Genomic DNA, 11,480 nt, shown 5'->3' with positions numbered 1-11,480 from the left:
TGCTTCCCAGGTTCACACCATTCTCCTGCCTCAGCCTCCCAAGTAGCTGGGACTACAGGCACCTGCCACCAAGCCCTGCTAATTTTTTTGTATTTTTAGTAGAGACAGGGTTTCACCGTGTTAGCCAGGATGGTCTCGATCTCCTGACCTTGTGATCTGCCGCCTCAGCCTCCCAAAGTGCTGGGATTACAGGTGTGAGCCACCGCACCAGCTAGTTTAATTCTTACAATCCTTAAAGCAAGGATTTTACATCGTGATATTAAACATCGTGATATTAAACATCATGATAGAAAACCAATGACCAATGACTTTGTTTCCAGTGCCTTTATAAAAAATAGTACTTTATAGATAATTTATGTCAGTGTACACGGGGTATACAAGTAATTGAGATTTTAAATTTTACTCTGTTTAATATTATGGGAAACTTATAAGCTAGGTATTTTATTCACTTCAGTTTAATGCAAGTGGTTAGCTCTTCCAGAAAGTTTTCTGTGACTTTTTTTTTTTTTGAGACCGAGTCTGGAGTTCGAGACCAGCCTGGCTAACATGGTGAAACCCTGTCTCTACTAAAAATACAAAAATTAGCCGGCCATGGTAGTGGTGGGGGCCTGTAACCCCAGCTACTTGGGAGGCTGAGGCAGGAGAATCACTTGAACCTGGAAGGCAGAGGTTGCAGTGAGCCGAGATCATGCCATTGCACTCCAGCCTGGGCAACAACAACTACTACTATATCTATCTATCTATCTATCTATCTATCTATCTATCTATCTATCTATCTATCTATCTAATCTATCTATCCTGAATAGGTAAATCCAGAGACAGAGGCAGATTAGTGGTTTCCAGGGGCTGAGGAGAAGAAATGAGGATTAACTGCTTTATGTGTAAAGTTTCCCTTCAGGATGATACAAATATTTTGGAACTAGATAGAGGTGATGGCTACACAAGATTGTGAATGTACAAAATGCCACTTAATCATACACTTTAAAATGGCTAAGTTTGTGTTCTGTATATTTTACCTCAATTTGAAAAAGAAGGTTGTGTCTCTGGAATCTTGTTTATGTTTGTAGAAAAATCTTTATTTTTCAGGGAAATCATAAAGAGTGAATCTAGCTCTGCCCATTTCTGAGCTAGGAACTATGAGTGGAATCCAAATGAATCAGAGCCACGCTGTTTTTTTGAAAGTGAACTGGATAGTCTAATAATGTGCTGAGGAATTCAGTAGTCAGAATGGTTACAAGTTAGCATAATGTATTCCCATTACACCACCTTTTCAATGCTCCTCCTATGTAAAAGGTATCAATAAATATATAATTGAACCAAAATCCTCTTTGTTGGAATATATTCTATTCAGCTGCTATTGCCCAAGTGGCCCTTGCAAATCTTGGGATGCTGTGCCTGTGAAAGCATTTTGTATTGTGATGGTGGCCTCAGGGTGAGGGAAGTGAGGATCAAGGGGAATGGGCTGTTTGCAAAATGTGGCTTCGGGGCCTGGAATGTTTAAAAAATTTTGAAATCCCAGCCTTTTCTTTTCATTAGTGATGACCCTTTCAAACACCCAAGCCTCTTTTCTTGAAATTCTTAATCTCGTTTTTCCTTTAAAAATGTATAAAATCCCGTGCATGATACATGCCGAATGACTGTCCTTTAAAAATCATTACAATGTAAAGTTCTTTACTGAAATTTGTTTATTTGTATTTTATTTACTCTTAACCATGATCCTGAAATTTTTAGGTACAAGTTCTGGGCTGGATCTTCTCTGATTGCTCTTTATAGACCTACTTGCTACCTTTCTCTACTGTACCCTAGGCCCTGGAAGGCTGACCTCCATCGATTCCATCAGTGGGCTCCCATACCCTCTGGCTTCCTGTCAGGTTCAGCCGTGGGAGGCACAAACAGATCAGAGGGTAGGAAGAGAAATAATTTGGGATACGTATTTATCCACCTCCCTCTCTGCAGGCTATGAATTGGCTGTGGTTGTGTTCTTCTACTGAAGGCCACAGCTCCTTTTAGGTGGGCCTCTCTTACAGCTACACCTGTGGCCACAACTTCAGCAATCACTTTCACTCCATTGCAGATATTTTTTTTCTTGCTGTTTCTGAACTAGGAATGGTAAAGGCTCCATATTGGTTTTGGTCCTTTGGTGCTATACCACCCCTTGCTGGTTTCCCTTAATCCTGCACACACGTAATTTGTGGGGCCGGTGCAATGCAGGGTCCTTTGTTCAAAAATTACAAAGGTCGGCCGGAGTGGTTCATGCTTGTAATCCCAGCACTTCAGGAGGCCGAGGCAGGAGGACTGCTTGAGGCCAGCAGCTCAAGATGAGCCAGGGCAACATAACTAGACTCTTCCATTTCTATATACATTTTAAAAATTCCAAAGAATTTAAAGATGGGGATTGCAAAGCATTAAACTAGTGTGTGGCCCCTCTAATTTTGAGGTCTAGTTGCACAGGTTGCACACCCATGGAGCTCGGTCCTGCCTGCACTGTATTGTAAATACTACTTACCTTAAATGATCTGCAGTTATCTATTGAGAATACCACCTGTTTCCTGCCAGAATTCTTTCTGATACAAGGTCTCATGTGTTCTCTCTCCCACTTAAAAAGAATTGTGGCTCCATTAGGGAATCTGGAAAACTAGCTGTAATCTATACTCACTGTGCAATTTAAAACTTTAGTAGATTTGCATCTGCAATAGGAAATTAACTAATTCTCTCTTTTCCTCACCCTCACAGCTAAAGCCACTCATTTGGGACTAACTTGAAGCTGGGAACTATTGTGGGCCACCATAGCCCTTGCATGCCACCTACTATTGCCACAGCTGAAATGTGTGACTCCCAAGCACGCCTCCTGGGCAGGTGCAGGAAGTTTTAGGAGTTACCCAAACCAGTTGATCACTTCTAGTTTTTTGTATTGGATACAGAATCTACTAAATAGGCTAATTAAAAAATATATGGCTTAAGCTGAGAACCTTCTCATATCCTGGAACCTATTTTTCTCTCTGGCTAGAAACTTACCCTAGATAGCAATCTCTTAGTATTACTAAACAAATATCAGTTAGGCCTCTGGTCTTGAGTAAGGCCAGCTCTCTCAATACCATCCTTAACAGAATTGAGGGTTGAAGTTACTACAATAAATTATGCTGCCTTGTTGGTTTCAAATGGGAGTTCCATAAACCCTCCTGTGCCTCAATTTTCTGTTTTTGTTTTCATTGCTTTGGTTGTTGCAGATTCAAGGATGGCAAAGAAACAAGGGTTTGAGAAACACCCTACAACCCTATTGTTTCATTGCTTTCACTTGCCACTGAAAGTGAACGACTCGCCTGCCTCTGGATCACTGGGACTGCTTCAACAACTGCATGAATTATATCCATCACTCATCCCTAAAGCACACACTTGATTTGTGCTATCCCCTTCATTTGGTCCTGTTGCCTCTCTGAGACTTCATTCTGCAGCAGTGGGTAGAAAGGCAACTGAGGTGGTATTTCCCCCTCCATGCTCTTGTCTATTTTTCCATGCCTGCAGTTTGTCCAGTTTTTAAGAAGCTCTCCCAAAGCTCCACCTTTAATATAAAGGGAAGTATTTTATAGAAGGGTTCACTTATTTGAAGAGTTACCAAATATATTGTCTTATCTTTTCCCCAAAATGCACACTTTCTCTTAAAGAGGACAAACTTTCATTTCAAAACGGGGTCATATGTAAAAATCATTCCAGCTGCTTAAATCCAGAGCATGGAAAAATTACTCCAAGAACAATATACAAATGCTCACTGGGCCTAAAACGTTTCGTTTGATTATGGACTGGATACATTTCCATTCAGCTCTGATTTGTTCCTGAGATAGGCAAATAACCAGCGTAGCCTCAGAAATGATCCTTCTCTTGGGAAAGCCAGCAGCATTGTGGACAGTCTAGACAACTAGAAGGAGCCAGAGAGTTCTAGCATCTAAACTGAAAACGAGGGAAGTCAGTCACAGTTCTGGACTGGGTGGCAGAACCGTGAGCAGAGTTGAGAATTTCACCCAGTGCATCTGATTCCAAGTCTATAAATTCTTGAGGTGTCTCTGCAGTGATGCACATTTTCAGGGAAAACCAGCCCCTAACTTTAATTTGCCTGTTCCTGTCACCCAGTCCTTCTGCCATTTACCTTCATATATGCTGTCTTCTGTGGAATTAAATGCGTCCTTAACAATTACCTGTCTACCTTGCTCTTTTCAGGGCTCAGGTCTGACTTACATGCTACCCTGAATGGCTCATGGTGACAAAAAATGCCATTTCTGGATGCCTATTATGTACTAGCATTGTATTTTGTTAACTTAAAAAATGTTAGGCTGGGTGCAGTGGCTCATGCCTATAATCCCAGCACTTTGAGAGGCTGAGGTGGGAGGATCCCGTGAGCCCAGGACTTTAAGACCAGTGTGGGCAAAATCGCAAAACCCGTCTCTACAAAAGAGAAAAATTTAGCCAGGCATGGTGGTGCACACCTGCAGTCCCAGCTACTTGGGAGGCAGACGTGCAAGGATCACCTGAGCCTGGGAGGTTGAGGCCGCAGTGAACTGTGATTATGCCACTGCACTGCAGCCTGGGTGAAAGAGCAAGACTGTTTCAAAAATACATGTATGTAATTATTTATAACAGTAATAATTCAACAAGCCTCATAATTTTTAATTTTAATGCTTAAAAGGGTTATGTTTATTTTACTTTTAAATTTATTTCATTTTATTATTTTTCAACCTGATCATCTCAGACAATAAATTTATTTCAAATGTATTTGAAACATGTCAAATATTCAACAGCAGTAGGGAAACTAGTATGGAAAGTTCCATATGGGAAATGGAATAATGAATAACTTCAACAATTTTCCGTATTTCACTAATCTTGTTTCATTTATTTAGTGTTTTGATGGGGAGGGGATGGAGTATTGGAAAGCAAATCCTAGATATATTTTCACTCAAAATGCCTCATTATGTATCTGTAATAGATAAGAACTTAAAAAAAACTGCAATGCCATTATCATATCTGAAAAAGTGATTAATTTCTTAATATCAGATAGTCTACATTTTGTCTCAAAAATGTCTTTTAAAAAAATCTTATTTATTCAAATCAAATCCTCACAAGATCTAAATATTGTATTTAGTTGTTACTAACATTTTAGAATGTTATTTATTTTAGAAGTCATTTATTTACATGCATTTAACCTTTATATTAAACCAACGCAGAAGGTATGGTCCCAGCTCAGAGAGGTTAAGAAACCTTACCAAGGTCTCATTGCTGGCAGGCACCGGACACATAATTTGAATTAAATCTTCTTAACTCCAAAGCCTCCATGCCACTCCTTCTGATGCAGGCTAACAGAATTTTTCCTGTGTTGCAGAGAGGCAAAAGGGCCACTATTTAAGAGAGAGGGTCCGGGTGTGGTGGCTCATGCATGTAATCCCAGCACTTTTTGAGGCCGAGGCAGGCAAATCGCTTGAGTCCAGGAGTTCGAAACCAGTCTGGGCAAGAATGGTGGAACCTCATCTCTACAAAAAAATACAAAAATTAGCTGGGGGTAGTGGCGTACACCTGTAGTCCCAGCTACTGGGGATGCTGAGGTGGGAGGATCACTTGCGCCTGGGAGGTTGAGGCCACAGTGAGCTGACAGCTAACCCTGATTGCCTCCATAGACTGTGCCACTGCATGCCATCTGGGCTGACAAGAGTGAGACCCTGTTTAAAAAAAAAAAAAAAAAGGAAAGAAAAAGTAAAAAGAGATAGGGTTTGGATTCAGGTTGGCCTGGATGCAAATTGGTGCAAATTACATAATCTCTCTGAACTTTCATTTCTGTCTGCATCTGTAAATAAGGATAATGATGAAGATTTGGGGCAGATTAAATAAGAATATGCATGCCTAGTATTTAGCACAGTGCGTGGCACACGGAAAGCCCTCGATAAATGTTAGCAATTAATGTAGAAGAGGAAAAAGAACCACAAAGTATTTAAACATTTGCATTTGTTAGTAGCTCGAGGAAATGGTGGCTCATCATTGTTAATAGAGCCTGCTTAGGATTGAGGCTGAAGGGGGGAAGGGTGGGAGTGGGGATAGGATAGGGGAGTGGCTCTACCTGGATTGGAGAAAGGAGTTCTGGACATAAAGATTTAAATTGGTGTCCGAGGAGTTCTCACAAGGCCTCAGCTGGAAAACAGTTAAATGCATCTTCTGACCACTAACCCAGGTTGCCTCCAGAGAAGGAAAACCAAGTGGGTGGCAGACAGGGTGGGAGGGAGACTTCTTGCTGTTTATTTGAATTTGGAACCATGTGAATGCATTCAACCTATTCCAAAAGAATAAATTACATTAAAAAATGGTCTTTTGCTATGGGGATAAGTGCTGAGAATGGTAAGACTAGGATCTAATGATAATAATAATAATAATTCCATTATACTTTGTGCAGCCCTAGGAGGGCTTCAGTCATGCAGGACAGGTTTTGAACTAAGATTGGGACTTTTTCAGCCTGACTCTGATTTCAAAGATCCAAGCTAATATTTTAATTTCAGTCACCCTCCTTCTGACCCTGATTGTAGAAAGATTCCAGACCCAGCGCTCATGGACTTGGTTTATTCAACCTGTGGATTGCCTTCAAGAGTATGCATTGTTGGGAGTCAAGTCTATTGGTAAAATCAGGGATGCATTGTCTGTGCATCTGCCGGTGTTTCCCAGTCCTTTTGGTGCTCTCTTTCTCTCTCTCTCTCTCCCTCTCTCTATATATATAATTTTATTTTTTGAGACAGAGTCTTGCGCTGTCACCCAGGCTGGAGTGCAGTGGGGCAATCTGCTCACTGCAGCCTCAACCCCGTGGGCTCAAGCCATCCTCCTGCCTTAGCCTCCTCAGTAGCTGGGACTACAGGCATGCACCACTATGCCTGGCTAATTTTTTATTTTTTAATAATAAACGTGGAGAGGGTCTCTCTACATTGTCCAGGCTGGTCTCAAACTCCTCAGCTCAAGCGATCCGCCTACCTCATCCGCCCAAAGCGCTGGGATGACAGGTGTGAGCCACCCCGCCTGGCCCCATAGATATTTTTCTGATGCTTCAATCAGCTAAGACTCTGAGGATCTGATTTTCTAGAGTCCTTTGGAAGGTGGGGGGGGGGCGGGGCGGGGGAGGATACACAACCCTATTCACAAATATTAGTAACTTGCTTTAAACTCTAAGGCCTTACATAAAATAACTCATTTAAACCTCACAATAACACTATGATATGAATACTATCATTCCCATTTTACAGGCAAAGAAACTGAACCAAGCGGTTAAGTAATTTGCCTAAGGTCAGAGCCTGCAGAGCTAACCATCTGGCATTACCATCACTCTGTTGGCAATGAACAGAGCGGGCCAAGCGTGTAGGGTGTAGGGGGTCCTTTGAAGATGACAAAAGCGTCCTTGGCTGTGTAGCCGCAAATCCCAAATCCTTCCTTCTCTGCAGCTTCTGGTTTAGGAGCTGGAAAGACAGGCTGTGAATTTCCACATTGACCTGGGGCAATTAACTTAACTCTCCGAATAGGTTCCTTATCTGCCCCGGGGAGGAGTTTTAGATTAAGAGGGTGTGTGTGTGTGCTGGGAGGGAGGTGGAGGGGCTGAGTTTTCTGGGTGGTGCGGTTTTCCCAAGTCCCGTTTTGAGGTTTTGTCCTAGCCAGCTCCCGCTCAGGTCCCTGGGCGGTGACGGTGGTCAAGCTTAGCTTGGCTGTTCCTCCTCCGCTTGGAAAAAGGCCGCCACTGGGGCCAACTCCGGCCACAGCGCTGCTGCCAGGAGACCTAGGGTAGGTCTTTTCCCCTGAGGTAGAGACCTGGGTGTACCCTCAGGAAGGCATCTTGAAGTTACTGACAGTTGAGTCAAATCTTGAAGGTCCAGCAGGAGTTAGTAAGAAGAGGTGGAAGGGGAAAGGTTAGGCGCCCCCTCCTCCACCCCTTGAACAAAGAAAGCTTGACGGGGCTTACAATATCCGAGGAAGAGCTGGGCGGGTAGAGAGGTCTGTAGAGGCGAAATCACAACTTGGCTTTATTCTAAGGGCAATGGAAGAGGGTTTTGAAGGCTTTAAAATAATGTCATTAGGAGTTTTAGTCGCTTGGGAGGAATGGGTCGGAGGGGGACAGGAAGCTATCGCAGAAAGCAGCCCACTTGGAAGATGACCGAGGACTGAGGAAAGAGGGCGGGGGACATCGAGCATCTGAAGCCTTTCCCAGTCGCCGCAACACTGTGCGCTGTCCCTCGGCTTTCTTTGCTTATGTGGAAGGGCTCCATAAAGGGCTGGGCACGCGCCAAACGCTCATTAAGCGAAATAGCCCGGGTCCCCTCCTCTTTTCAGGGACTCTGTGGTCCACGTGCCCCAGAATTGGTAGGGTAGGCGGGAGGACTTTCCACTGCTGAAGATGGAGAACCGTTACCCCTCAAAAAACACAAAAACCTCGGGTGCTTTTGGCAGCAGTCTCCTCCGCTCATGACCTCATGCTTTAAGCTCCCATATAGCCTCCCTCCGCCCAATCCACACCCAGCGCCCGGGTGGGGGTGGGGTGGGGGACACTGGCGAAGGTCTGGGTAGCGGGAGGTCATTCTTCTTGCGCGACATTTTGGGGGAAGGGGCGCAATGATTTCCCCCACGGAAAAAAATGGATGGTGTAACTTTCTGTCGTGCAAAAAATACTGTCTTGCCCTCGAGACAGATGCCTCGAACCCGGCTCGAGGTGGTCTGTTTAGCTGAACTACCTTTGGTTCACGTTTCCTCTGACCAGGAAAGAAGCTTGGAAATGCAGGGGTCTCAGGCCAGGTTCCCTGACACCTGGGCCGACCACTGCCACGCCTTCTCGGGACCTGGGGGCCGTCCTGCTGTTGCCCTCCGCCCCCGCCCGCGCCGCGGAGGTTTGAACCTTCGGCTCGCCTTTCAGCCCGCGCCCTGCCCCCTGCTCGCAGCTGCTCCCGGTTTGGGTGCAGCGGTTTCCCCCGCAGAGGAGGAGGAGGAGACAGCGCGAGGGAGCGACTCCGGGCTCGGGTTTCCGCACCAATGCCGAGCAGCCCCGGGCGGCCCCCGGTGGCCGTCCCTCCTCCCCGGCACCACGTTCCACAGTCATGGCGCGCGAGGAGGGGCGAGCGCGCGCGGCGGCTGCACCCGCGCCCCCTCTCCTCCCCTCCCCTCCGCCGCCCGGCCCCTCTCCTAGGCAACCCCCCTCCCCGGCCTGCTGCGCCTGCCGCGGCAAGGGAGACCCCTCCCCAGAGAGCTGCTCTTCCAGCGCGGTCTACTGCACCCCTTCCCCGCCCCCATCGGGGCGGAGGGATGGAGACGCGCGCTTCGCGAACCTCCAGCCCCTTCTCCGGAGCCCCAGCCCTCTCCCAGCCCCACCGAGGCCAGGGTGCGGTGGGGGTAGGCGCGGACCGTCTCCTCGCAGCCCGCCTCGACCTCGGCATCTTTGCAAACACTTAGAAAAATAAACAAACCCCCTCACAAACCCCAGTCGTTAGCTTGCAAAGCGTGTTACAATAACCGGGACGGCTACGCAGGAAGCAATCCTGCACTGGTCCGGGTTTAAGGCGGCAGCTTCCCGGCCACGCTGCCTTCTCCCCGGCCTCGATTTTCCGGCCATGCCGGAGGGTCCGCTGCACCTCAGGGCTGACAGGTCCCGCTCGCGCAGGGCCGCAACTGGGCCCGTGTCCCCCGTCCCATCCTCGTCCAGAGACTCGCCAGCCTACAAAAGGTGCAACCTCACGCACACGCAAAGCGCACAAATAAAGTCAGCAGCGCACCGCCGCGAAGGCTGCGAACAATGCGCCGGGCGGCCCGCGCCCGCCGTAGCGCTGCGCCCCGGGGGAAAGGGGACGCGGGCGGGGGCCGAGGCGGACGACCAGCCGGTCGCGGCGCTGGACACCTTACTTCCTGCTTCCCCGCCCGCGGCCAGACCCAGCTCTGCGGAGGGATATCTCCCCTCCTCGGTCCCTCTCCCTCCCTTCCCCCTCCCTTCCCCCGCCCTCCCCCTCTTTTTGCTCCTGCTCCCCCCCCCCACCCCGCCTTTCTCCTTTTGCAAGAAAATAATTTGACAGTCGATTTGCTGACAAGGGAGGAATTTGCATCCTGGATTTAAAAAAAAAAAAAAGGCCGAGAGGAGCTTGGGAACGGTTGCTAGGGGTGGGTAATGGGTGAAAAAAGGGGGGTACCGGGGAGCGGATAAGGAGGGTTAAGGGAGGGGGCGAGGATGGGGAGCAATGCAAAGGTAAGGCCAGGTTACCGCGGCTCGGCCCCGAGTGGGCTGCGACCGGGGGAGGGGCGAGAGATACATATGTATTTCTGTCTCCCCAGCACACCCCCTTCCCTCTAAGCGATGGCTGAGAGGCGGTGCATGCAGATGGGGAGTAAGTTTCCTGAAGGGGAGGGTGGATGCACGCGCGCAGCCCGGCGCTGCAAATTTCCACTGGGGAGGGAGAACGGCTGGATGCGGAGAGTTTGGAGTTGCTTGCGGCGGAGGGCAGGAAGGGGAGCAGGGCTGGGAAAGGGGGCTGGCGGGCGCTATATCTGGGAGTAAGTTTCCAGCATCAGGAGAGCCTGCACGCTTGCTCACTAGTAAGTTTCTGGCCGGGGAGGGCGCATGGGGAGGAGGAGAGGGAGGGGTGCATGTATATAGAAGGGGGGAGGGGGGAGCAGATTTCCTGCGGGGAGGCTGAATGCATATGGAGAGTAGATTTCCTGAAGGGAGGGTGGAGGCGTAGACGGACCGAGTAAGTTTCTTGCTGGGGTGGTGGAGGAGGTGGTGGGTTGGTGCTTTGGAAACCCAAAGCTTCCTACCCTGGGTGGGGGAGCACACTCTTGTCGGGGGGACGAGGGGCCAGGTTCCCTGCTGGGGAGAGGGGCTTGCATCTGGGGAGTATGTTTCCTGGCGGAGCGATATTTGTTTACAGGCTGAGGGCAGTACAGTAAGTGAGTAGCGCTGAGAGAAGGCGGCTGACATAAATTAATATTGAAATTACTCCATCAGCTCTGCTCGCCCCCCATCTCACCCCCCAAGCGGATACTGGTCTTCTCGTCGGATTGCCCATGCACTTGTTGCAGAAACAGCCAAGGTAGGCAAGAAGCTTATTAAGTTTCATTTTTAAAAAATTAGTTTGGGGATGCTCCTCGAGAAGACGGGGGTGGGGCGAAGTGGGGAGGGAAGAGTGGGGAGACAGAAGGAGAAGTCTCCCCCCCCTTTACTTTCACTATGCAAGCAGGCCTTCTCCCTTCTTCCCTTCTTCCCTCTCCGGGCTGCACAGCATCCCAGCAAAGGGGGAGGGATGAGGTGGGCGCTATAATTGGCAACCCTGGCTTAAAGGTAGTGATGGTGGGCTTGCATTTGAGGTTGTGATGTTATAAAGGCTTCATTCTCCAGCTAAGAAACCGCAGGACTCTGCCTTTTGGGGTTTTTGACATGATACATATGTGTATGTATACGCGCCTGCGGGCTCTGTGGGGGCTGGGTACTCCCCAGA

General features: G+C 48.0%; 2 protein-coding genes and 1 long non-coding RNA gene across 56 annotated transcripts in view, besides 2 other annotated features; 1 reads left to right on the top strand and 2 right to left on the bottom strand.

Moving 5' to 3' along the window:
- Positions 1 to 5,067: 5,067 nt before the first annotated feature.
- On the bottom strand, positions 5,068 to 9,892 carry LOC124900214 (arf-GAP with GTPase, ANK repeat and PH domain-containing protein 2-like). Of its 3 annotated transcripts, XM_047419627.1 has the most exons (4): positions 7,970 to 9,892; positions 7,337 to 7,472; positions 6,098 to 6,307; positions 5,068 to 5,516 (listed from the first exon to the last, which is right to left on the bottom strand). In XM_047419627.1, exon 1 carries the CDS (start codon positions 9,429 to 9,431, stop codon positions 8,334 to 8,336), a length of 1,098 nt encoding a protein of 365 aa, XP_047275583.1. In that variant the 5' UTR covers positions 9,432 to 9,892; the 3' UTR covers positions 5,068 to 5,516; positions 6,098 to 6,307; positions 7,337 to 7,472; positions 7,970 to 8,333. The 3 variants fall into 3 exon arrangements, with proteins under 3 accessions (XP_047275583.1, XP_047275582.1, XP_047275581.1); XM_047419626.1 differs by having other exon boundaries at positions 7,337 to 9,892; XM_047419625.1 differs by having other exon boundaries at positions 6,098 to 9,892.
- LOC107986596 (uncharacterized) lies at positions 5,068 to 9,892 on the bottom strand. Its single transcript, NR_171668.1, has 5 exons — positions 9,627 to 9,892; positions 7,970 to 8,035; positions 7,337 to 7,472; positions 6,098 to 6,307; positions 5,068 to 5,516 (listed from the first exon to the last, which is right to left on the bottom strand). It is a non-coding gene; the product is annotated as an uncharacterized LOC107986596 (long non-coding RNA).
- Positions 8,872 to 9,311: a silencer, noted in NCBI's record as "silent region_17204". NCBI's record gives its function as "represses an Ori minimal core promoter by ATAC-STARR-seq in GM12878 lymphoblastoid cells {active_cell/tissue: GM12878}" and the evidence as "EXISTENCE:reporter gene assay evidence [ECO:0000049][PMID:35858748]".
- Positions 9,782 to 9,861: a silencer, noted in NCBI's record as "silent region_17203". NCBI's record gives its function as "represses an Ori minimal core promoter by ATAC-STARR-seq in GM12878 lymphoblastoid cells {active_cell/tissue: GM12878}" and the evidence as "EXISTENCE:reporter gene assay evidence [ECO:0000049][PMID:35858748]".
- TRERF1 (transcriptional regulating factor 1) overlaps positions 10,028 to 11,480 on the top strand; it is a 227,294-nt gene continuing 225,841 nt past the window's right edge. For 14 of the 52 annotated variants that reach the window (XM_017011054.2, XM_017011052.2, XM_017011049.2 and 11 more), the window contains exons 1-2: positions 10,326 to 10,578; positions 10,991 to 11,075. The gene's annotated coding sequence lies outside the window, so the exon portion shown is untranslated. Of the gene's footprint in view, positions 10,232 to 10,325; positions 10,579 to 10,657; positions 10,734 to 10,909; positions 11,076 to 11,480 lie in introns of those variants that run through there. The other 38 variants (XM_047419067.1, XM_047419061.1, XM_047419048.1 and 35 more) reach the window with 5 other exon arrangements.

Source organism: Homo sapiens, chromosome 6 (genome assembly GCF_000001405.40).
Source record: "Homo sapiens chromosome 6, GRCh38.p14 Primary Assembly".
NCBI lineage: Eukaryota > Metazoa > Chordata > Mammalia > Primates > Hominidae > Homo > Homo sapiens.
This window is presented reverse-complemented; position numbering and strand designations above follow the sequence as displayed.

Excerpts from the sequence above, each read along its gene's own strand:
- LOC124900214 (XM_047419625.1), bottom strand. The coding sequence starts at position 9,431 with ATGCCGAGGTCGAGGCGGGCTGCGAGGAGACGGTCCGCGCCTACCCCC.